This window comes from Homo sapiens, chromosome 10 (assembly GCF_000001405.40).
Source record: "Homo sapiens chromosome 10, GRCh38.p14 Primary Assembly".
NCBI classification, from domain to species: Eukaryota; Metazoa; Chordata; class Mammalia; order Primates; family Hominidae; genus Homo; species Homo sapiens.
This window is the reverse complement of record NC_000010.11, coordinates 104,397,892-104,424,253: the sequence shown is the minus strand read 5'-3', so window position 1 is coordinate 104,424,253 and position 26,362 is coordinate 104,397,892. Positions and strand designations below refer to the sequence as shown.

The 26,362-nt window shown below is 41.0% G+C and overlaps 1 protein-coding gene and 1 pseudogene across 3 annotated transcripts in view; both read right to left on the bottom strand.

Moving 5' to 3' along the window:
* Window positions 1-26,362, bottom strand: part of CFAP58 (cilia and flagella associated protein 58) — a 116,583-nt gene that overhangs the window by 30,849 nt on the left and 59,372 nt on the right. For all 3 annotated transcript variants that reach the window (NM_001400226.1, NM_001400227.1, NM_001008723.2), the window contains 4 exons: window positions 24,754-24,894; window positions 23,351-23,574; window positions 20,414-20,525; window positions 17,461-17,565 (listed from right to left, as the gene is read on the bottom strand). In NM_001400226.1, the coding sequence (NP_001387155.1) occupies window positions 17,461-17,565; window positions 20,414-20,525; window positions 23,351-23,574; window positions 24,754-24,894 (582 nt within the window). The remainder of the gene's footprint in view (window positions 1-17,460; window positions 17,566-20,413; window positions 20,526-23,350; window positions 23,575-24,753; window positions 24,895-26,362) is intronic.
* Window positions 24,351-24,464, bottom strand: LOC124902590 (uncharacterized; annotated as a pseudogene).

Sequence of the window (26,362 nt, the reverse complement as noted above, 5' to 3'; positions counted from 1 at the left end):
CGGCTCCAGAGAAGACTGTGTGTCAAGAACTCAGAAAAGGACTCCCAGGCATATAGGCAGCTCCCAGGCTGTTTCCTACACATTAAATACATGCAGAGTAGGGAATATACATTTTTTAATGCATGAAACATGAGCCAGACTTGACACCCATCTATCAGAGCTGCTTTAAGATAATAAAATCAGCACTGCCATTATAAGGAGAGGGAACTTGATGACCCACCAGAGATTTCTTCCAATCTAAACGATTCTATAAATTCCCCTAAAATCATAAAAAAGCAGATTAAGGATTCATGTAGGTGTTTGGACTATAAATACAAATTAATTTCTGCTCCACCTGCAATTTTTCTCATCCTTGTAAGAAGCACCTCTGTTTCTAAGATATTTCTGGGTAAAACACCAACAGAGGAGATAAAAATAGATAGGACTCCCCCGGGTCCTTGTTGGCAACTATTTTCTTCTAATTTCACAAATAAATCCTCATCTTGAAATAAACTGAATTGAATCTTGCTGCTGTCCAAAAACATTTATCACTGAAAATCTCTTTTGTTTGGGGAGTAAGATATAATTGTATACAGATTCAATAACAACCTAAATGTTCCACTGAGAAATTCTTTATTGAAAATGTTTCCTTTGGACTCTAAGTAATCTACTTATTTCCTTTTTCAGTTATTGGCCATGTTATTGTTATTTGTTTCTAAAAAAAAAAAAACTCCTGTTTAAGCACCACTCTCATAAAAAGCTTGAATTGTTTCTAATACTAGAAACATATTATTCTGCATCTCACTTGGTTTTATGCAACTTAATTCAAACTGATCCTTATAGAAGAAAAAAATATTTTAAAACACTCCCTTACCTCTTACAGCTCAATAACTATAAATATCAAAAGAAAATAGTAAATGTTACATTTTTAAAAGACTAATTTATCAACTAATATATTTTTGGTTCACATATTTGCTCTGATTCAATGTGAAATCAGAGACCAAAATAAAAATGAACAAATGGATGGTGGATCATGTTTCCAAATGCATGGGAATAAATGCATATCACTAAGGAAATGTACTCAGTTATGACATCACAGCTGTTTCTCCTATAAAAATAACTATGTCCTACAGCAAACCATAATTTCCTAAATAAAGGGAATAAAAAATTAAACGAAAGAAAAACATGTCAGCAATAAAATCCAAGGGTAGCGACAAGATGCCAGCATATTAAAGTACCATATCCAACAAAGGATTAAAAAAAGAAATCTTAGTACAATTATTATGTGTCAATTAAAATAAAACTTAAGAAATCTTGTACCACTTGATGATTAAATGCAAAGTATCTCCACTCAATCTCCCCAAAGAAAGGAGACTGTGGTACAGTGTTGAACAAGAGCCACTTGTAACTATGACCCTAGATAGTCCTCTCCCACATTTACTCTGGGCTTGGCCATGTGACTTGCTTTGGCTAATGGGACATTGGTAAGTATGACACAAATGGAGACCCAAAAAGTACTTGCATATTGAGGATTGCCCTTTCTTGCTGCCTTGGAGACTCTAAGGCTGTTACCATGAGAGTAAGCCTGGGCTAGGCTGGTGGAGACAGGTAGTTCAGACACTACTTCCCTCTCGCCAACTGCCAGCACCAACCACTGTACATGTGAATGATCCCACCCAAATGAACCAGCTTTGGGCCAATCCACCAGCTGGTTGAAAAAGCACATGTCAGCCCAGGAGAACCCAACAGAAAAACAAGCCAGCTGAGCCCAGCTCAAATTGCCAACTGACAGAATCAACACCTAATAAATGATTATTGTTCTAAGCCACGAAGTTGTGGAGTGCTTTATTATACAGAAAAAGCTAACAGATACTCAGGCTATCACAGAGGCCTAACTCATGGGCACAGTAACTAAAGGGTCAGACACCATGGAAGGAAAGTGAGAGACTGCTCTAAGAATGGATGGGTCTATGCAATTACTCCTGAAAGGGAGTTCACATATGAAATGCTGAGTCAAGCTATGTCATTTATAAGCTACTATGTACTTTAGAGGCTCTTCTAAAATTTTTATTTTATTTTATTTTATCCTATTTTATGTTTTGAGATGGAGTCTCACTCTGTCGCCCAGGCTGGAGTGCAGTGGAGTGATCTCAACTCACTGCAACCTTCGAGCGATTCTCTTGCCTCAGCCTCCCAAGTAGCTGGGACTACAGGTGTGTGCCACCGCACCTGGCTCATTTTTTGTATTTTTAGTAGAGACAGGGTTTCATCACATTGGCCAGGCTGGTCTCAAACTCCTGACCTCAGGTGATCCACCCACCTCGGCCTCCCGAAGTGCTAGGATTATAGGTGTGAGCCACCACACCTGGCCTAAAATTTAAGTCTAAAGTAAAATACCATGGTAACAACAGCTAACATTTATTAAGTGCAATCCTTGAGCTATGTGCTTGATAAAGATGATCTTGTTTAATTTACACTGAAATCTTATGTGATAGGCACTACTATTACCTATACCTTCCTAATCAAAACCTGAGGCTTAGAGAAGTTAAGTAAGTTCCTCTGGGTCACACAGCAATATGAGTGAGCTTGGACTCATGAACCTGATTTGTTCAAGAGTCGTATCCACTAATCACTATGGATACCACCTTGTGTAAGCCTTCTTTAGTCTATTGAGCTGGGAATTTTCTGTACCAAGAGACCTATTCTCTCTTCCTTGAATCTTAGATGACCAGAAAGAGCAGACCCAATAAGGTTTACCCACCCAGTCAAAGATTTAGAGGAGTTAGAATGGACAGTGGACATAGTGGGTCTTGCCCAGGCTAGGAGAGCAAGAGAACTTCAGCACATAGGCAGGGGATATATAGCACATAATGGCCTGGGCCATCAGCAGTATGTGACTCAAGTCTCAGGCTGCGACCAACCAGATGAGCAATGCCTCCTTTTCCATTCATGGGTGTGGAGAGGTGGAAGGGAAAAGGAGTCTTAGAAGGGGGCTAGTAAAACAGGTGGAAAGTTGGACAGAAATTCATTTCTTGTCATAGGTGTAGAAGGTGTATGCTTCTACATGATGAGTGCTGAGGTTCCATATCTACTACTCACTTAATATACATCACCCCTTTATTAATTGAACCTCTGTAGTCAGATCTGCTATTTCGTGGACTTCTGACGTTTAAGATGTCTCAATCCTAAATCTTAAAATTGAGATGAAAATGGAAGGGAGGAGGCCAGGTGCGGTGGCTCATGCGTGTAATTCCAGCACTTTGGCAGGCCAAGGTTGGTGGATCACTTGAGCCCAGGAGTTCAAGACCAGCCTGAGCAACATAGCAAAAACCCATCTCTACTAAATACAAAAAAATTAGCCGGGTGTGGGGGCACAAGACTGTAGTCCCAGCTACTCAGGAGGCTGAGGTGGGAGGATCACCTGAGCCCAGGAACTTGAGGCTGCAGTGAGCTGTGATCATGCCACTGCACTCCAGCCTGAACACCAGAGTGAGACGCTGTCTCAAAAAAAAAAAAAAAAAAATCAAATATAAAAAAATGTTTAAAAAGAGAAAAAGAAAATGGAAGGGTAGAGAAAGAAGTCAATCAAGATACCCCTTTTGAAAACCACTCTTTTTTTCTTTTTTTAACTTTTATTTTAGTTGTAGGAGTACATGAGCACATTTGTTATATAGGTAAATTGTATGTCATAGAAGTTTGATATACAGATTGTTTCATCTCCCAAGTAATAAGCATAGTATCTGATAGGTAGAAAAACCACTTGTTTCAAAACACATAACACAAAAAAGACCCTTGCTAACCAAATTGAAGATCTGGACTCCAGAAGTCATCTGTGTCTCTCCTCAGGTTGGCTGAAATTACAAGTGTTTAAGGTACTTACAGTTTAAGGTATAAACCGGTTTTTAAACTCTATCTGCCTAATCGAGCTTACCAGCGCCAATCTCTTTTAAGAAACTCCTAATGCTTGCAGTACTCTAATGCTATGGAAGTTATTCCTGGCACATTTAGAGAGAACTACTGAGAGGGAATATGAGAAGGCATTTGATAATTGAGTACATTAAGTACACTCAGGCAAGTTTGAAAGGACACACGTTGAGAAACTTGTTCACCTTAATGAAGCTGAACACAATCGTAAAAAAAAAAAAAAGGCCCCAAACATCTGCATATTAAAAGTCTGCTCCCTTAAGGGAGACCAGAGTCCTAGACAATCCTGCACTATTATCCTTTTTCTTACACTTTCTGAGGGCCCATAAACCTATCTGAGCTTTAGTTTCCTGATCTGCAAAACAGGGTTATTGCAAAGATTAAGACAGAAAGTACCAGTTCCTAGATTTTGGATTTCTTTGACCTATATATTTCCTCCAAAATCTTGAAGGTACCATCATAGTCTTGCCAACTTCTTCTTATGCTAAATTTTTAACACGAAAACCAAAAAGGAAGAATCTTAGGTAACAATGTAGTGTTTGCTATGTGCCAGGGACTATTCTAAATGTTTTATATATGTTAATATAATCTCCCCAATAACTCTAGGAGATAGGCATGATTATCCCTGTCTAACAAAGCAACGAAGTCACCACATACACAGGATCCATGCTCTTGACTAACAGAAAATCATCATGCCTCTTACCATCATCTCATAAAGGAGAGGAACACACAAACAATAAGAGAATGTCATCTCAAAAAAGGAATTTTCAAAAGTAAAAAAAAAAAAAGGACACAGATAAAAGAACAGTCCCTAAAATAGAGAAGTAAAATTAGCTTTATGCTACACAGTTCTTACTGTGCTCATTTTCTTACACACCAATGAATATTGCGTTTGGGACCGTATCATTTCTCCTGGCCCTCAGATCAGCATTTGGGAACCACTAAGATACAATGCCTGAAAAGCACTTTGAAAATGTGCCCATCAGAGGTTAAGTGTTGCTGGAGTGTTACAGGATCATGAGTAGTGTGACCTGAACCCACCCTCTGAGAATGTTCATACTCAGGCTGTCTTGGGCAAACCAAGTAGGTAGAAGCATATGGTGCCCCGCAGACAGCTACAGGGAGGACATCTATGCTAGCATTGGCATTCTGTTTTCTGAACAGCCTGCCTCCAATTGCTCCTTCCAACCTCCCTGGCAGGCAGAAGCATGTGCAGGAAAGCAGGCATTCCCAGAAACCCCAGAAAGAAGTGGCAGCCAAGAAACAGGCCCCAGGAGCACGACGGGGACACAGCCTCCTCAACCATTCCCAGCACTTTAAATGTCCTTCAATGAGAGCATCAAGGCTCTGCAGAAGCTATTTTCCCCCTCGCATCTCATTCTTCTACCCCTTGATTTTAGAACAGAGCAAAAACCCACAGACAGGCTTCTGTTCAGTGGTTTCATCTTACACTGTACCTCTCAGTCCCACATCATCGTCTAGTGAGGGAGCATCTTCAACTATTTCAGCCCAGCTTTGGGGAGGATGACCACTGAGTTATCCACTAATAAAGCAGGCAAGAATTACCTTTAGTGTAGGCTACACTACCAGCAACTGGGCCATGCTATTAGAATTCTGCCTTCCAGATCTTAAAGCAGTTCCTTAATAACTGAATAATTACTTTGGTATCTGAAGTGGGGGAACAAAGAAGTCATGGTAATGGAATGTTCAGTGGCTCTATTGGGAGGCACTAAAGAATAGTGGTGAGGGGCTCTGTTCTCGATTCCAATGACTAAGGTTTGTTTTTGATTTTGTTTTTGTTTTGAGGCGGAGTCTCGCTCTTTCACCCAGGCCGGACTGCAGTGGCTCTATCTTGGCTCACTGCAAGCTCCGCCTCCTGGGTTCACTCCATTCTCCTGCCTCAGCCTCCTGAGTAGCTGGGACTACAGGCACCTGCCAACATGCCCGGCTAATTTTTTGTATTTTTAGTAGAGATGGGGTTTCACCATGTTAGCCAGGATGGTCTCGATCTCCTGACCTCGTGATCCACCTGCCTCGGCCTCCCAAAGTGCTGGGATTACAGGCGTGAGCCACCGCACCCAGCCTCCAATGACTAAGGTTTCTAAGAGGGGTCAGCAAATGCTTTCTGTAAAGGGCCTGGCAGTAACCAACGCCAGCTTTGTGAGCTATTCAGTACCTTCACAACAATTCAACTGTGCTGCTGTAGCACAGAAGCAACTGTGATGTTCCGTGAATGAATGAGCCTGGCTGTGTGCCAATAAAACTTTATTCATGGACACTGAAATTCAAACTTCATCACAATTTTATATGTCTTGAGATATTATTCTTGTGATTTTTTTCTAATCACTTAAGTATATAAACACCATTCTTGGTGCAGGCCATATAAAAACAGGTGGTAGGCCAGATACAGCCCACTGTGGGCCATAGTTTACCCAAACCTGGTTTATCATTGCAGCTCTGATATTTCTTAACCACAAGCTCTTGGGCAAGCTTTGTTTTCCTTCCTCTGTGAACTCTTGAACAAGTTCAGTTCCCTTCTCTGTGAAATGAAACAACAGCAGCATTAGCCTCATCTGGGCTTCCAGTGGCTGCAGTGAAAGCAGATGCTCAGCACAGGGCAGCGCAGAGTACATTGAGTATTGAATGTACTCAGCATTCAATCGATGTGAGCTGTGACTGCCATTTCCCTCTACTCTTCAACATTCTCTGTAGCTTCCACCAAATCTATCTGTGCTACCATCAAACAGGACCAAGGATTGTCATGTCTCTTGTCAACAAAGAAACACTCTAGACTTTCATACGAATGTCAATAGCCTTCAAGAGTTTGTGGGATGCTAAAACATCCCTCAAATTCTGGTTGCATTCAGTTGTCTGATTACTCCTAGATATTATCAGTCCCTGCAGTTTAAGAGCCAGGGCCAGAGGGTGAAGTTATCATCCTCCAAACTACAAATAATGGTATTTCTTGAGCACTGGCCAAATCTCAAGCATTGTGCTAAGTGCTTTATGTCATTCTTTCCCTTAATCTTTACAGTAACCAAAGGATGCTAATAAAATGATGAGCTCCATATTTCAGAGGAGAGCAAAGCATAGGAAGGTTAAGCAACAAGGCCAGGCCCATGCCTGGTCACCAGGAGGTGTGGGGTTCCATCCTGGGCCCACCAGCACCACAGCTGTTGCTCTGAAGCATGAAGATCTACCACGAAAGAAACCAACTTCTAGAGCATGAGTGTTTCTCAGACTGAACCAGTAATCTGAATCCCTGGGGATCTGCTTAAAATGCAGATTCTTATTCATTAAGCCTCAGGGGGTCCAGGGATCCTGCATTTCTAAAGAGCTCTCAGAGATGCCAGTGCCACTGGAGTCCATGCTTGGAGTAGCAAGGCTCAAGATGCAGTGAGAAAGGTGAAGTTTCTCCATGAATGACCAAGGCAATCTATACATGATAAATTCAATGACCACAGTGTTCTTACACCACATGCTGTGGAAGAGCCTTTGGAAGCAGAGTTCTAAGATAAGACTCAATGCTCCACCAGGTACCCATTATGTGGCCCTAGTAGAAAGACTCAGCTTTCCTGGCCTACGTGTTCCCTTGTCTGTAAAGGGGACTGGTGTGCTCTTCTGGGGTTGTTGTGACAATTAAATGAGATAATACCTATACAAGCATTTAGAGCAATGTTTAACACAGTGTAAATATTAAACAAATGTAAGATAATCAGGAGATCAAGAAAATTGAAAGCCCTTATGAAAGAATTATCTAAAAATGAGCTATATGAGGTTTGTTCCCTCTGCACAGCTAATAACTCGTGCAGATCCATTCAAACCCTCCTATCATTCAAGCCATTTTACAGTTAAATAAACCAGACTTCCATCCAGTCAGTCATAAAATTAAATTATAGAGAAAGTTCACCTTGAAAGGGCAGGGCTCAGATGCCAGCAAAGAAGCAGTGATTTCCAGTTCAGTTCATGATTTATTTATCTGAGGGATATGCCCCTTACCTAGGCCTCTAGGTGAATGTAAAAGAATGCATGTGACAATTTCCTAAAGCAACACGAACTTGAACTCCACCAAGGCAGTTTTCTCACCTGAACCATTTCCGTGTCACTGTTCATTAGGTAGTGTGCTTCCACTCATCAAAACCCCCCGAACGTAATTAACCCTTCTAGTAATACATCACTACTTCCACACATGAAGGGAAAATGCCTCAGTATTCTCATCGTTTTAATAAAATTTTCTGGGCAGGATGATCCAGTTCTATCAGTCTAGGAGGTCAAGTTTGTTTCCTTTCCCCAAAATGAGTCCCAGGTACAGCACGCATCATTTCACCCCCACCATCTGGCAAGCTAACAGTCATTGTGTACTCACCACCATACGCTGCTGCCTGTGCATAGGGAAAGCACAGTGCCTAGCATACAGTAAGCACTCAAAGGATGGCTGTCATTAGAACACACTCAGGGTGTGAACTACATACAGTATCATCATGTCATCTGGTTCCTGGCAGGTAACTGAAATGGCAGCGGGCAGATAGAATAGAGGAAGGCCTAATGGGAACTTGGTTGGGAAAATGCCCCTCCTTTTCTAAAGTCAGATTGGCAATGCATACCTTAGGTGAATCACTGAGTGAGTAAAGGGATCTACCTGGTTGGTAGTCCCCAGGACCTGCCAGGAGACCTGATCTCACGTAACAGGTATTTTTGGTGCCCTGAGCCTCCTCCTCACAGCCCATCCTAAATTTCATGATTTTGAGCTGACATGCCTGGTACACTGCGAGGGCCCACAGTTCCCAGAATGCTCTAGCAGCTTACACCTCAGGCGCATGGGTGTCAGCGTTTCCGCCTCAGGCCAGGGATCCCCCTCAGTCTGCCTTTGGAAGCAGCTCAATGTCCCCAGGGCAACAATCAACCAGTGGGGAATGGGAGTCATTGAACAAATGCCCAGTCCTCTTTCCTCTGATGGACAATTTTACCCGCTTTCCTGTGTGATTCCTCAGAGGAATCCCAGCGGTACTAGAGCTCAAACGCCCATGGGATGACCCGCTCCCTCCCCCTCCACCCACTGGCTTTTCCTCCCTCCCCATCTCACTTTCCTGCTCCCCGACTCCAGCTTCCTGCAACTGCCTCCCAAATGCCCAGACCCCAAATCTCTGTCTCAGTGTCTGATTTGAAGAGACCCAAACTGAGACACCTGCCCACTCCAGAGCCTTGCTTAGAGTCCCATAGCATCCTGTACAGTATCACAGCCCTTGGTACACTGCCCTGTGGTTGCAGAGCTAAGAGGTCCTTCAAGGCTGGGACGAGGTCTGTGTCATTGACCCCGGAATTCCGGGCGCTCAGTGACTGCGGTGGGCAGGCCGGCAACACAAGGTATTCCTGCTGCCCATTCACGGGCGTGGGGAGTGTTCAGAGACAACCCTTGGTCTTTTTAACAATTCAGAGAAGACCTTTTCTGTTTTCGAAGAGTTTATAAAATAAAATTCGGTGAAACCCCGTCTCTACCAAAAAATACAAAAAAAATTAGCCGGGCGCGGTGGCAGGCGCCTGTAGTCCCAGCTACTCGGGAGGCTGAGGCAGGAGAATGGCGTGAACCCGGGAGGCGGAGCTTGCAGTGAGCCGAGATTGCGCCACTGCACTCCAGCCTGGGTGACAGAGCAAGAATCCGTCTCAAAAAAATAAAAATAAAAATAAAAATTAAATTAAGAGTTATTAGCGGCAAGACAAAAGGCATCTTAAGAAAGCCCATCTTCCCTGAAGCCCACCCACCCTGCCCCACAGAACACAGCCCCTGCTTCTCTGCCTCTCTGTTCACAACCTTAGAAGAACACAGCCTTGCTCACCTCTGATTGCTGCTGCATAGCACCTACAGCCTGAACCTTCTCCTCCCTCCCTCTTTCCCTTTTGATTCTTGGGCTCTGCACATCTATCAAGGAATCACAACAAAGAACAAGATTAAAGAAATCAAAACTAGTAAAGCCGACTGTGTGGCTGCTGTTTCTTTACGTCTCCTTCTCCCCCAAGCCTTGAAGCTAGAGGTTGTAAACTATCCACTTGTGGGCCAAGGATGGTTGGCAAACTTGTTTCTGGGAGTCCCATACAGTGTGTTTAAGACTGTCAATGTTTAAAATTCAGTATATTGAACATAAAAATCTGCATTTCCAGCTCTTTAAAAATTAAAGATTTGACAAATCAGCCTGCCATTAGCTGGGGTGGGATTAGCTGCTTCCTAGGGATACTTCCTAGGACTGGGGCCCATAGCCCACCACGTGCTGCAATCCCCACCACTCCCTTTGGCCTCTGACTATGAGGCGCCTACCAGTTGCTGTTTCTGATCATGGCATGCAAAATCCACCTCACTCTTTTCTTGTTACATGCCTGGCCATGAGGTTAAGTGCATTTGAACTTGTTACCCCATATTTAAGCATTTGGAAGAAACCATTTGAGTAGCTCTGAGTGTTCATCATGTTTTAAATGCCTCTAGCAAGAGGTTAGAGCTTCCTACTCCAATGCTATCATGCCTTATGCCCATTATTAGAAATGCCATCTTGATGATGATGATGATGCCAATGCTATCATGCCTTATGCCCATTATTAGAAATGCCATCTTGATGATGATGATGATGATGATGATGATGATGATGATGATGATGTAATGATACCCAGGTAATGGATAGCAGTTACTCAAGGCATATAGACCTGCCTCATCCCACAGATGCCTTTAAAGAAAAAAGAAGTCATTAATCCTGAAGGATTCAGATGAGAGGAGGAACAAATGAAGCAACAACAGCAAGGAGAGGCCACCAGGAGGTACACTTCAGGTACGTTTCCATTGCCCCTGCTTCTCTGAAGGGGAGAGTAGCTTGGTGAGCAGAAGAAAAGAAATCCTTCCTGTTCATACCTTAGATTCCAATTCTGGCAAGAATACAGACTTCTCCATCTTACCACTGAAGCTATAAAGTTAGTCTCAAGAACCATTTTCACGTTAATCCCAAGCAAGGGAAGAACTTTGACAGACCCGCATGAATCAGCCTGCCTCCACAAACAAAAAGGACACTGACAGGTTGCATCAAGTTTACAGATCCATAAACCCACAGTAAATTCCAGACTCCTGAAAAGTCAGAAGTCAATAAAAAAACGCAAAGGCCACCTCTCAGAGCTCGAAGACGAACTTAAATGACTGTGCAACATACCACTTTCTGAAGGACCACAAATCTTTCAACCTTTAATAAGTTGCTAGACAAATATTTGTGGATGAGAAATTAGGGATGTGATGATCAACAAGACAGACACCAGAACTCCTTTGCGAAGCTTATAGTCTAACAGGAAAGAGCCATTACATATTAATTACAACTATTTCATTAATTACAAGTGTGATGAGTGGTATAAGGAAGAAGTTAAGTTACGGGAACGTGTACCAAGACACCTAACCTAGGAAAAGGGGCTTTCCTAAGGAAAAAATATTTAAGCTAAGACCTAAAGGGTAGGCAGGAGTTGCCCAGGCAGAGAGCCAGTCCGTCTATAATGAGCATCTGTGTGCCCAGTACTGTATCAGGCACTGGGATTAGAGAGGAGAACTGGGAAGCGCCCCTCCTCAAAGAGTTCACAGGCGAGTGGGGCTTGAACATAGGCTTCCATCGTACCTGCTGCTTGGAAATGATGGGGTCTGTCTATCACCACATAACAGATTAAACAGTTATTTAAAAATTGCTGTGATACTCAGAAGAATTCAACCCAAAGTCTTCCTAATTGCAAAATATTCTATTGTGAGTACAGAGAACTTCTCTAATATTTTAGTTTTAAAAGATGAAATTGAGAAACTGTCAAATCCTATGGAACACTTGGGGCTTCAGCAAGATAACAAGGCTTGTTGTCTGGGGTTATACAAGCTGCTGAGAAAAATCACAGCAGGCACAGGAGAGCCCAACCATTCCAAACGCTAAATAAGGAATTGATTAAAAGGGATTGAGACAGGACATTAAACTTTGGAGGCCTGGAAAAACTGTGCTGGTAATTAATGATATTAATAATAATACTATTATTAATAACATTGTTAATGAGAACTAAGAATTCTATTAAACTTTTATGTGAACTAACACAATTCTATGGGTACTATTATTGTCCCCAACTTATGGATGAAGAAACTAGTGAGTCAAGCAAATAAGAGATTTCTGTTTATGGCAATATGTCAGACTAAATAACATGAAAACTAATGTCCACAAAGCATTAGACATGCTGAGTAAAACAATTCAGCATGAGTTTTAATCACAAAACAGAATTTTCAATTAGTTTGCTCAAGTGTCAAAATCAAAGCCTGAACTGCATGTTAGAACAGTGAATAGATATATATTGCAGCTCTCCCCTGAGGGATAGCTGAACAAAGGGCCTGGATTTTAGTGGCCACAAGAAGGCAAAGGATAAGGTGCTGGGCCTGTGTGAAGTGGGTGTTAGTACTAAGATTCCTCAGCATAAAGTTAGTGACTTTTAAAAGTTTCACCCTTGGCAAAAAGATACAATAGAAATCTACCCACTGGGACAGGAAGACCACAAGGAAACCTAACTATCTCTCCTGGGCTCTGGGTGGGGGAAAAAAAAAAAAGTTGCTTCCCTAAGAATTTGTATCCATTCATCTTCTGTCACAAGAGTTTGAGGTTCTAGTATATGTTAGCCAAGTAGTCCAAGAAACCCAAAGTGAGAATTTAACATTAAAAAAAAATTATTCTAAGCAAATGATACCTTCTAAGGCACCTGGCAGAAACAAATGAATGGACATACCCTTAACCTGAACCATTCCCAAGTCCCCAAATAAAGGCTTTCTGAAAATGAGTTCACAATCCAAAATCACAAAACACAAAAAGAAAAATCCACCATGAGTGAAAGTCAGCAGTCACAACAAACAGGAAAACCCCTCGAGAACTTCAATAATAGAACACTCAGATTAAGACTATAAAATAAATTTTTGAATTAATTGGGGACATAAAGGAAGGATGTAAAACATGAGAAAAGATCAAGAAACTATCAACAAAAACCAGGCATATGTGAAAAAGAGTCTCTATAAAATAAAAATAAAATAATTGAAAATAAAATCTCAGTGGATTGACTATTAGCAGATAAGCACACTGAAAGAACTGGTGAACAAGAAGATTAAGATTAACACTTTGGGAGGCCAAGGCCAGCAGATCACTTGAGGTCAGGAGTTCGAGACCAGCCTGGCCAACAGGATGAAACCCCGTCTCTACTAAAAATACAAAAATTAGCTGGGCGTTGTGGTGGATGCCTGTAATCCCAGCTACTCAGGAGGCTGAGGCAGGAGAATCGCTTGAACCTGGGAAGCGGAGGTTGCAGTGCGCCAAGATTGCACCACTGCATTCCAGCCTGGGTGACACAGTGAGACTCCATCTCAAAAAATAAATAAATGAATAAATAAATAAATAGAGATAAAGCTAAGAAAATGTAACAAAGAGTTAAAGAGAAGAAAAACATCAACTAGGTCAGTAAATAGGAAAAAAGAATAAGAAAACCCAACGTACTTCTAATAAGAGTTCCAGGAGGAGTGAATAAAGACACTAAAGAAGAGACTATTCGAAGACACAGGAACCCTCAGATTCAGGAAATGGAGTGTGTTCTGAACATAGTAAGCAAAACTAAATTAATACCCAAATGCGTTGTGCTGAAACTCTGAAACATCAAAGGCAAAGAGAAGATCTAACTATCAAACAGAAGAAAAGGCAGGTCACCTAAAAAGGAGCAGAAACAATTAGACGTACAGCAGACTTCTCAGTCACATCACTGGAAGCTGGGGACACAAAGGACCAACATCTTCAAAGTGCTAATAGAAATAACATTTCAAGTTAATCATTTACAAATAAGGCCAAATTAAAAACATTTTTAGACAAGCAAAGGAGAGTGTTAACCATTGAAAAATCTATTGGTTAAAGAACTATGAAAGGATATACTTCAAAAAGGAAGAGACAGAACCCAGAAGTAAGGAATTGGAGATATGTAGAAATAGAAAACAAAAGAACTGGTAAACATGTTGGTAAATCTTAACAAATTGACTCTATAACATAATAGTGGTGATGGCTGATTTTGGAAACAGCAGGGTAGCTGCAGTTAAAGCATTCCAAATCCTTACACTGTTTGTAAGAAGGAGAAAGATATTGATCAACTTTAGACTTTAGATTTGATGTCAACTATGCATGGTGAATTTTTAAGGGAATCTATGAAAGAGAAAAACAAAGAATTAAGATAATGTATTTAAGGGAATCAGAGACAGAGAGAGAATATTATACTGAGTGGTGGTAACTGTTGAGTAAAAGAAAAACTGTAAAAAGGGAATAGGTAGTAATGGTTAGTGGGAAGACTGGTAAACAGGAAAACAGAACATAAAGAAAACTCAGTCTGATAGAATTTTTTTGAGCATTACAAAAAATCAGGGAAAATAAGAAGGTAGAAATAAACCTAAAATTATCAATAAACAAACTAAACACAAAGATAAGATTTTTTTTTAATTACAAGAGATATTCCTAAAGTACAAAGACACCAAAAGTTTAAAAGTAAAAATATAGGAAAACTACTTTTCAAAATCCAGCTGATTGAGCTATGTTAATACTAGGCAAATTTGTAAGTAAAAATATTATTACGAGAGTTCTTACATAATACGAAAGGAGCAATTCAAGCAGGAAGAAATAAAAATTATAATCTTATACTCACCTTATCATGATCTAAAATGTTCTTAAAGCGAAAAATGTCAGAGAGAAGGAGAAATAAGACAAATCTCCAAACTTTTTTCAGTGATTAAGCAGACAGAAAATTAGGAAAAGTACAGATGTGGACAATACAATTAACAAGGTTGATCTAACGAACAAACAGAGAACACTGAACCCAGAGCATTTAGAGAGTATGTATGTTTTTCAAACAGCAGGCGTCAGGTATAAAAACTGACCACTTAGTTGGTCACAAATCAAGTTCAACAAATTCCAAAGAATCTGTATAATACAGACAACAATGCAGAAAAGTGACCAATCAGTAAGTAAAAGATAACTTAAATACATATATATTTGGAAAATTTAAAATACACTTTTAATTATCCTAAAATATTATAAAATATCTCCTAATTATGATTAGGAGAAATAGTGAATATTTATTAAGACTTACTGTCAAAGGAGAAATAATTCTGAAAATATACAACATTTAGGACTAAATGAAAATTCCCCATATCAAAACCTGTGGAAAGGAACTAAATAATTTTTTTTTTTATGAGACGGGGTCTCACACTGTCACCTAGGCTGAAGTGCAGTGGCACAATCACAGCTCACCACAGCCTCGAATTCATGGGCTCAAGCAATTCTCCCACCTCAGCCTCCTGAGTAGTGGGGACTAAACGTGCACGCCCCCACGCCTGGCTAATATTTGTATTCTTTGTAGAGATAAGGTTTTGCCATGTTATCTAGGCTGGTCTCAAACTCCTGAGCTCAAGCAATCCACCCCCACTTGGCCTCCCAACGCGCTGGGATTATAGGCATGATCCACTGCACCCAACCCTAAATAAATTATTTAAAAGACATTTTATAACTGAAATATTTATATTAGAAGAGAAGACTGAACATTGATGAGCTGAGCATTAACCTTAAAAAGGTAGAAGAACCCAGTAAACCCAGAGTATATAGAGGGAAGGAAATAATAAAGTTAGAGCAGTCCATGAAATATAAAACAAACTTATAATACAGATGCTTGGCAAACATAAGATTTGGTTCTTTTTAAAACTAACAAAGTGGTGATAACAGAACACACAAGGAAGTAGAAAGCATGAGCTCTGGAGTGACTGCCGGGACCAAGTCCCACCCTAGCACTTAACCAGCTGCACAGACTTGGGAAATGACTTGTGGCCAGCATCAGTGGAACAGCAAACTCTGGACTGTCAAAGCCCAGTGCCACGTACTAATTGGTTATCCTTACAAGACATCCAAACTATGTACTCTGATTAGAGTATCCTCCTCCCATTATAAAAAACACGTATTATTATCCCCATTTTACAGATGGGAAAACTGAGATTTGTACAATGTATGTAATTCTCTTAAAGTCACGAAATGATCAAGGATTGAAACTGATTTAAGACCAGATCTTTCTGGACTCCAAAGTCTACTCCCTCAACCACACAGTAATCTACAAGAGAAGAGGAAAATCCCTGTTGGCCATTCAGTGTCATGATATTCTGGAAGGCTATTTACTGTATACCCAACTTTAGGGTAAATATCTTTCTTAAGGTAGACTGTAAAACAGAAGGAGCAAATGTCCCTTACTCATATATAGAAGTTCCTACTCCTACTAATATTAACCTAGTGATTAAAATTATGGGCTTTGGGGCTGGGCACAGTGGCTCACGCCTGTAATCCCAGCACTTTGGGAGGCCAAGGCAGGCAGATACTTGGGGTCAGGAGTTTGAGACCAACCTGGCCAACATGGTGAAACCCCATCTCTACTAAAAATACAAAAATTAGCCAGGCATGGTGGCACACACCTGTAACCCCAGCTACTTGGGAGGCTGAGGCAGGAGAATCACTTGAACCTGGGAGGCAGAGGCTGCAGTGAACCGAGATGGCGCCACTGCACTCCAGCCTGGGCAACAGAGCAAGACTGTCTCAAAAAATTAATTAATTAATTAATTATGGGTTTTGGAATCCAAAGTAACATGAATAATTGCTAATATTTATTAGACACCATGTTACCATGGATAATACTAAACCCTTTCCATCCTCACAATATCCATTTTCACAGGTTCTGTTATTGTCCCATAATACAGACTAAGAACATCAGGTGCAATGAAGTTAAACTGACATAGCAACTGGCAGTATTCCAAACCAAGCCATCTAACTTCAAGAGCTGACATTCTCATCCACACTAAACTCGTGGGCGCTGACTTCCTCGGTCATCAGCTGGGGATGACCACACCTGCTTCCTGAACTGCAAAGAGGAAATGGGACCAAGTAGGTAAAGCCACCAGCATATCTGGCATGCAGTAAGTGATGATGATGATGATGATGATGGCAGTGAGGAAGATGGTGATGATGATGACAGCTGGCCCTTGCAAAGATATAGGCCTAATTGCTACAGAACAATTTACTGCATAAAATCCTCAAAAAGAAATCTCTTCTTCCATTTCACTCACATAAATCTTCATGTGAACAGATCATTTGTGCTCTATGAGAAAGCTTATTTTCAAAATCAAAATCACAGCATTTTGCATTATATGAAGATATGAAGAAAAATGTTTAAAAGAATCTGATAAATAAAACTGTAGAGAAGTGGGATGGGGGTTGCTCACATTACCCATTGCAGTAAGTCTAGCCTTGAACTTAATTTTCCAGAATTCTTGAAATATCAGTGATCGCAACGTAAAAGACCAATTAATCAGGCTGTGCTTGTTCTTTATGTGTAAGTCACTGTTGCCATCTACAGTTAAATACAGGACATGCAATGCTGCCAAATAACTAATTCTAAGAACGTAGTCCTGGAGATGGTGGTGCTAAGGACTTGTACAATGAGTACAGAAAACAAAAATGCTACCTGGAGGAGCAGCTCTTTTTCAACCACCTCTTCAGTCTTGCTGATGAGACGCTTCTGCAGGGTGTGAATTTTCTGTATCAGCTCATATGCATTGGGGTCGCTGGCCTGTCCAAGGGGAACAACAATAGCAGCTGAGATATCATCAGCTTCAAAGCACTGAGGCCTCTATGTAAAATGCACATTGTCTTATTAAAATCTGTTGCAAACCTGCAGACCTAATACAGAGAGAATTAGAACCAAAAATAAAGTATAATAGATGAGAAAATCATAAATTCCTGTCCCCAAAAAGGCAGACTGCAGTTTTCCTAGTGTTTTTTCTATGGCATTAGTTATTCTATGAATACAAAGTAAATATGTTTATTCCACCAGTGGTAATAACAATAATGGTAGCTACTATGCTTGATATATGATTCTTTGCCACCATCCAGATACTATGCTAAGTGCTTTTTATACAACATTATACTTTAGCTGCAGGACAGCCCTAGGAGACAGTATGTCTTCTCCTTTTATACTGATAGGACAACTGAGGCTGAGAGAAACTAAGTCATTTACCCAGACTGGCAAGGCTCAGAGCCGGAATCACGCCCAAATATGCCAAGCTCCAAAGGCATAGTTCTCAATTCCTATGCTCTGAGGCTTACCCTACCATCTCCTCTGTTTACTTAATTTTCCAGAATTCTTTTTGTTGTTGTTGTTTGAGACAGGGTCTCACTCTGTTGCCCAGGCTGGAGTGCAGTGGTGCGATCATGGCTCACTGCAGCCTTGAACTCTGGGGGATCGAGCAATCCTCCTGCCTCAGTCTCCAAGCAGCTGGGACCACAGGCACATGCCACCACACCTGGTTAATTTTTTTGTGAAGACAGGGTCTCACTAGACTGCCCAGGTTTACTCCTGGGCTCAGGCAATCCTCCCACCTTGGCCTCCCAAAGTGCTGGGATTACAGGTGTGAGCCACTGTGCCCAGCCCCTAGAATTCTTGAATGGAATGAAGCAGGGCTCCCTAATTCACTCAGCCTTAGGATTCTCCTTTGGTAATTGTCAACAGGAAGATTCACTGCAGTCTATGATGGGGACCGCTTCCAGGATGTGGACTTCTGCTAATTATTGGCAGCAGAACACTACCATGGCATTTAGCTCTGAAATGGAATTATCAATCCACAAAGCTTTGATGTTCCTTCACTAGTTGTGTACAATTCAAACAAGATATACAGTTATAAATTGGTAATGTGTCCTCTACACTTTCAGCCAAGGCTTCACTTTCAACTGTACTGACATTTTGAATTAATCTAACAGCTAAATATTTTCAACTGCCTCCCAGAGTCTCTATTTTCTAATTTTTCTAACAGAAATTGATGTGGAATTGGAAACTTTAAAGATCTGCATGAAAACACATGGAATAAACTAATGTGACAGTAAATGAATTTAAAATCTTCATCTCCACTTCTGCAGACATATCCATATTACTATTGGGTTAGTAAACTACACCACTCTTGGCATTTGAAGAGGAAGGAATGAGGGTCCAAAAGAGAAAAGAAAAAGAGAGATGCTATTGACTCTGACTTTGCTTAAGAAATACTAAGCAGTGCCAACTGATATCCATCTATTGGGACTAGATTTGGCACACATTCACCCGGCAGGGTTGGACGCTGTTAAAATTCAGGCCTCATGTTTACATAACAATTTATAATGCATTATCCTTAATGCTTTCTTCATTAAAAGGAAAAAATAAAAATGGAAAACAAGAATCTACCTGGCTGATTTTCTTTCTTATAAGGAAAAAATAAAAAGTAAAAACAAAAATAAAGGAATTTTTGTTTTTTCCTCTCTTACAGGTCCCTATGTAAAATACATATTGTCTTTTCCATTCTTAAAGAAAAAAAATTAAAATGAAAAACAAAGCCTGGGCGTGGTGGCTCACGCCTGTAATCCCAGCACTTTGGGAGGCTGAGGTGGGCGGATCACGAGGTCAGGAGATTGAGACCACGGTGAAACCGTGTCTCTGCTAAAAATACAAAAAATTAGCCGGGCATGGTGGTGGACGCCTGTAGTCCCAGCTACTTGGGAGGCTGAGGCAGGAGAATGGCGTGAACCCGGGAGGCAGAGCTTGCAGTGAGCCGAGATCACGCCACTGCACTCCAGCCTGGGTGACAGAGCGAGACTCCATCTCAAAAAAAAAAGAAAAACAAAAACAAAAATCTCCCTGGCTGATTTTCTTTCTTATACCTGCCCTGCTTTATCTTATATGACATACTTACATCTCCCAATACCCTGATCATTCATTTAGTCGAAGGCCCTTTTAGCATCCACATTGCTAGTTACAACTAAAGAGATGGCTTTTTCTTGAATAAGCAAGAGTTTGTCTTTAACTGTCATTTTCAGTGCTGGTGGTAATGACTATCAGAAAGTCATAGAATTAAATTAAATATGAAGTTGATTATCCATCCCCTACCAATGGGACTTTAGCTGTGTCCCCAGATTCTAAGAGAAAGGGCTTGGCTAACGCAATGCTTTCAAAAAGAGGGCAGTTCACAAAACCGTATTTTCTGTAAGTAATAAAAGGATGCAAAGATCAATTGAAAGATGGTGGAGATGCTGGTGACCAATATCATTAAAGGCCACGAACATCCAAGACTAACAGGCAGCCTTAGGATAACTGGTTAACCAAAACCTACCCAAGCCAGAAAAATAAATGTCAATTGGTGAGGCAGGTTCACAGCTTTCACTGGGCTTTCTTTAGGTAGAAAGAATTTTGTGCAAGACTTTTAAAACAAAACCCAAATGAACCATCTGGTTCTGAGAAAACTCAATTTACATCAGATACAGCCTTACATTTTAGGTGACAATTTGCATAGCATTAAATAAAACCTCGCTTCTCATTGTGCTTTAGGTTAGAAGCTTCGCGTGGGATAGGAGGAGAGATTTGGGGATGGGGAGAACACGCTGCCAGATGTTACCTCGAGCTTCCTCCATCTGTGCACATTCAGGGGATTCTCCAGCTCCTCCTCCAGGGCTCGGCAGCGTGTCCTCTCCTTCAACAATTCTCTTTGCATGTGAAAAAACTCCTGTCTGAATAAGACAAACTTGATTTTGCAAAGAATTATCCACCCGTTTGAATATCCTATCTATCTTTAATTAGTTGCATACACACTATGTCTTATATAAAAAGTTGGAGTTAGGGAGAATATTGTGAACACAGGGACCAGCCTCCTAATTCTGGGCAAGATGATATTAATTCTTGCAGAGCTCAAGAATTGGCTTAGCTTTCAAAAAAAAAAAAAAAAAAGTGCCAGGGCTTCAGAGTCAGAGTCATGGTTCTGGATACTCAATAAATTTATAAGTATACGAAAAGAACAAAGGGCAGGGGGATTGTATTAGTCTTTTCTCACACTGCTAATAAAGACATACCCAAGACTGGGTAATTTATAAAGGAAAGAGGTTTAATGGACTCACAGTTCCACATGGCTGGAGAGGCCTCACAATCATGGAGGAAGACAAAGGGAGAGCAAAGGAACATCTTACATCGTGGCAGGCAAGAGAGCTTCTCTAGGGGAACTCCCAGTTATAAAAACCATCAGATCTCGTGAGACTTATTCACTACATCACTACAATGAGAACAGCATGGGGGAAACTACCCCTATGGTTCAATTATCTCCACCTGGACCCCACCCATGACACGTGGGGATTATTACAATTCAAGGTGAGATGTGGGTGGGGACACAGAGTCAGACCATTTCAGCAGTGAATTATGACAGTTTCAATATACTGTTTAATGTTTCTGAATGTCTCTATAGTGGTAATAAGTGAACAGGCTACAGTCCACAAACTCAGCACCTGACAGCAATATATTGAGGCTCAGGTGATAACCTAACACTAGTTAGGGCATACGTCTCTACCCTCACTACACATTGAAATCCCCTGGGGAGCTTTGAAAAATACCTCTTCTCCTGGACCCAATCCTTACAGGGATTCTGTTTAATAGTCTAGCATGGGTCCCCGGCTTCAGAGGTCTTGGCAATTCTCACATGCAGTCCGGATTGAGAAATCCAAGTTAGAAGTTGTAATGAGATTTTATCCTGAGTTCCACAACCACACAGATGGCTAAAAAAGTCCTGAATAACTAGCTCTGGCTGAAACACACCGCTAAAATCTTCAGAAATCTGTAGTTGATAGGTAATATGTGACAGCCATCCTCAGTGTTGCGAGCTGGCTGTCGCCCTATCGAATGAGACATTGGGAGGCAGAGAAGAAGCAAGCACTTGCATTGACATGGGCAATAAGGATATTATTACCTGTCCTCGCCTGCTGCAGGGGTGCAGATTACTAATACTAAGCCATCTCTTTTACTTAATCGATTCATTTAAACCAATAATACAACTTCCCCTCATTAGCAAGACAAACCATTAGAATTAACTGCATGATGTTCACTCAACAGGGCGCTCAGAGCAAGCTGCTTAGAATTAAAAGCATATTTTTAACACTTCAATTTTCTAGAATGTCATCAGAAGGGGAGGGCAGAAATATTAGCTACCGTATTTGACGGCCTGCTTTGTACTAGACTCTATACTAGGCACATTGATTTGTTTTCCTGTTTAATTGTGACACCAAGTCCAAAGCTCAGGGAAGGTCAGTGACTTGCCCAAGGTCACACAGCTTGTAGGTAGCCAGACAGATTGGAATTCATACTAGCTTACCTCCAACATTTATTAAGTTGTCTTCCCATTGAAAAGAAAAATAAAATATATTAACAACAAACTAGCAATACTGAATGGGAATGGATAAAATGTGGTCCTTTGTGTATGTAATAAAAATAACTCATGGCTGACAAGTTTAGTGATGGTTTGGAGACTATTCGATAGCTACTTAGAATGAATCCATTTGTCTCCAAAATGTCAGTGGTGGTATCTCTGGGTAGTAAAGTTATGAGTGATTTTCTAATCCCTTCTTTATATTTTTTCTGCATTTCTCACATTTTCTACAATGAATTTGTACTGCTTTCGTCATCTGAAATACAAGCAACTCCAAAAGAAAAAAAAAAAGAAAAAGTATTGATTTATCCTTGATAGTGGCAACCTCGCTATTCCTGCATATATTCATTGCATTTAAATATCCAAACTATCTTCTAACCCAATTGATTTGAGAAGCAGATCCAAACCATGTCCTTATTCCAAGATGGTCAAGGATACTGTTCATCTACAAGTCTGTGGGGAATAAGGATAGCTACTGAGAAAATACCAGAACTCTTATTTGGTTTCCTGCAATTGCCTATATAAAACATGGTGACGTTTTCCCAAAGGGAAAGTAGATCTTGTGTAATGCAAGATTTAAAGAAAGAAGAAGGCGCACTAAGCTAAAGTGAAAGCTGCAGAAGATAAATCAAAAGTGAGATACAAAATTTGGCCGCCTTCTAAGGAAACGAAGTTTTCAAGTAGTGGTAAAATTATATTTTCCACCTCTTTTCTTCCTGTATATAATTCCAAGAAAAAGATGTGCAAATGTTACCAGATTAAATTTCAATATTGATGCTCCCTCTCTTGCATACTGACTTATTAAAGAAATTCAAGAAAGCTCATTGGGGGAAAAAATTTCTGAATTGTAACTAATTTCCTTGAAAATTCTTTTGTAAAATGCAGAATGCGGTTTTTTAAAAACCTTTTTGCACTCGCCCTTACCCCCCCGAAAGGAAGCTGGTTCATTATTGTGACACAGCATGGGCACAATGGAGATGTTATGGAAAAGCTGCTCTTATTATTTGTTAATAATTTCATCCTGTAAACTTCATTTTGTACAACTCGATAAAGACCTTCAATGAGCAACAAGCATGACTACGAAGTGATTTTAGGAGCTCCCCACGTTGCACTGTGCCTTCAGCCCTGAGTTCTATAATCTATTACCTGAGTTCTTCAACATTAGCCATACTCCTGGCAAGAATCCCCTTTTCCCGGCGAAGCTTCTTGATCTCAAGTCTGAGGATTCTCATGTCCTCCAACCTCTGGTTGTACTGGCTCTCCCCTTTATTCAGCACAGACTGTTGGATCTTGATCTTCTCATAGAGCAAAGCTAACTCATCATTGCGCCGAACAAGCTGAGACCCCAGGATATCTCTCTCACTGATGACCTAGGAAGGTAGGGAGGGGCATAGTCACCAGGGAAGGAGGAGCCTTAGCTTTTCACTGTGACAGCACCATTCATTCAATGAGTATCTATTGAACGCCCACATGTACTGGGCACCACATGGGCTGGGCACTGGAAAGAGCTGGCTAGACAATCAACACTGGACCCCTCCCATTAGAGTTTTTGAAAACACCACACAACAGATAATCCTTAATAATATTAATAATAGTAGTCCAAGGCTGGGTACAGTGGCTCATGCATGTAATCCCAGCACTTTGGGAGGCCAAGGCAGGCAGATCACTTGAGGCCAGGAGTTCGCGAGCAGCCTGGCCAACATGATGAAACCCCATCTCTACTAAAAATATAAAAATTAGCCAGGTGCAGTGGCACATGTCTGTAGTCCCAGCTACTTGGGAAGCTGAGGTGGGAGGATCACTGGAGCCTGGGAGGAGAAGGTTGTAGTGAGCCAAGATGGTACCACCACACTCCAGCCTGGGTGACAGAGAGAGACTCTGTCTCAAAAATAATAATAATAGTCCAATCATCTAATAATCTGTAGCCCATGTGTGTATCGTTTTGTTTATTTCCAAACCCATTATATTTATAAATGTTCAAATCTGAATGACTTCATGGTGGGCTAGCTCTTGCCAAGTTCCACTACTTCCTTCTGTCTTGCACTGACCAACTTCTCTCTGCCAGGTCCCTCAGAGCAGTTAAATTTCTAACCCCCAAATTATGCATTTGGGTTTCTATCTCCCAAATTGTTTTTTATTTTTTTCATGTTGGATGGGTAATGTGCCGACATCGTGATAAGGTTTGAGGGAGGCATATCTTACACATACATGTGAACACCCAGTCAAGATCAAATCATGTAATTATTAATTGCAATTATATGTGAGCAACTGTATTATACTAGAATGCAAGCTCCTTGAGGATGAACCTTATTGTCTTGGTGGCCAACGTGTCCCTAGTGCCTAGAGGAGTGACTAAGGCGTGGGAAGTGCTCATAAGTCAAATAAAGGAGTGAATATTTCATAATTAATCAACACAAGATGGGTCTCTGCTGCTGTTCTTCCAATAGGGCTGGTTGGAAGAGCTTAGAGAGGAAGGAAGTTTCGAAGGGTGGAATTAAATACCCGTGTCTGTTGACAAGGTCTGCAAGTCTGACAAGGAGATGCTCTACCTGGTCTAATTCCTTCTTCTGTCTCAACCTCTCCCCGTCAGCCTCAGCAATTATTCGCAGGAGTTTTCTCTCTTCAGCTTCTTGCTTTTCAATAAAGTGTTTTGTCTCCAGGGCTTGTTGTCTCAGCTTCTGCAGCTCAGCCTGACAAAGAGTGGAAGATACAGGCAAATTTCAATTCGTTACAGCACAAACCAGGACGACAGGGCCCGGATTCAGATGTACAGTTGTGCTTCTTACTCTTTCCTCTGATGTTTCATTTAACACAGTTTGATCACTCTCACAAGCAAAACAAGCTTACAACACACACACACACACACACACACACTCATAAAGAAATAGCAATGCACATTACAGTCATCATGTTTATTCTGAGTTGTGCCCTTGAGGGATTTCTATCATTTTTCTATATATGTGTAGCAGGGGCTTCATTGGTATTCAGCAGCACTTCATCTCTTACCAGCTAAACACCAGGAGAATTCACAAAGAATAGTGCAGAGCAGGATGTGGGGGTGAGGACAGGGGAGGCCTCTGTGTGTACCAGCTCCTGTAATGGCCCTACCACCACCAGCACACGAACTGCAAAGGTAAAGCCCTTTGTAAGCAAAATTAAACTAGTCAAAGATAATAACTGTCTATCTTGTAAAACATCCTGATGAAACAGAAGGGATGTCATTTATAAAAAGATATATAGATCCTACTTCTATGGCACTTCCAACCCAGATGAGAGGATAAGATAGACAAATATTATGCAAATATTAAGAAGTCCAGGCAATAATTTTTCAGCGTCTTGATTATCACACAGACAGTGAATCGATATTATGGGAGGTCAAAGAAAAAATCATCATTAGACTGGGGGTAGCAGGACTGCTTTCTCAGAGAGCTCAGACCTGAATCTGGCCCCTAAGTTTATATGAAAATCACAGGAATTATGGAGAAAGGGTGCTATGGACTGTTAAGTTTCAGCAGGACAATTTTTGTCTCATCAAAGTGCATGTTCATTTCTATTCCACAAGTTTGTTTGTGACCTACCATATCCCAGGCATGATACTAGGCATTTGCGTAACTACTCCTGTCTCCATTTAATGCAATTACAGAGACAAAAGCAAGCAACTTGCCCAAGGTCATGGAGCTATTAAATAGCAGATTGAGATTCCAACCCAGATCTTTTGATTCCAAAGCCTGTGCTCCTTCTATTGTCACCACCCAAGAGTTCCAAATTAAATATAGAAGATAAGCAAGACTTGAGGGATTCGCCATCCATTGAAGATGATGGATAACCAACAAGTGTGAAAATGCTATCTACCTATGTGAAAAGGACATGTGTGTACACATAAAGGAGTTTATATTTCTGCCTGGGGTTTAGAGGGAAGAACCAGTCAGGTCACTGGCAGTTGACAGATATTGCCAACATGGAAGGGTATGTGTTAGAGCAGGGCATTCAACAGTCAGGCTTTTGGGAACAAAGGCATGCAAACTATAAAGTACCTGGTGTGTTCACCAGACAGTGGAACAGCCAGTATGGCTGAATTAGAGAGTTAGGTAGGGAATAGCTGGAGGTAAGGCTCACAAACAGCTAAGCCAGACAGGGAAAGGCCTTGTGTGCCATGCA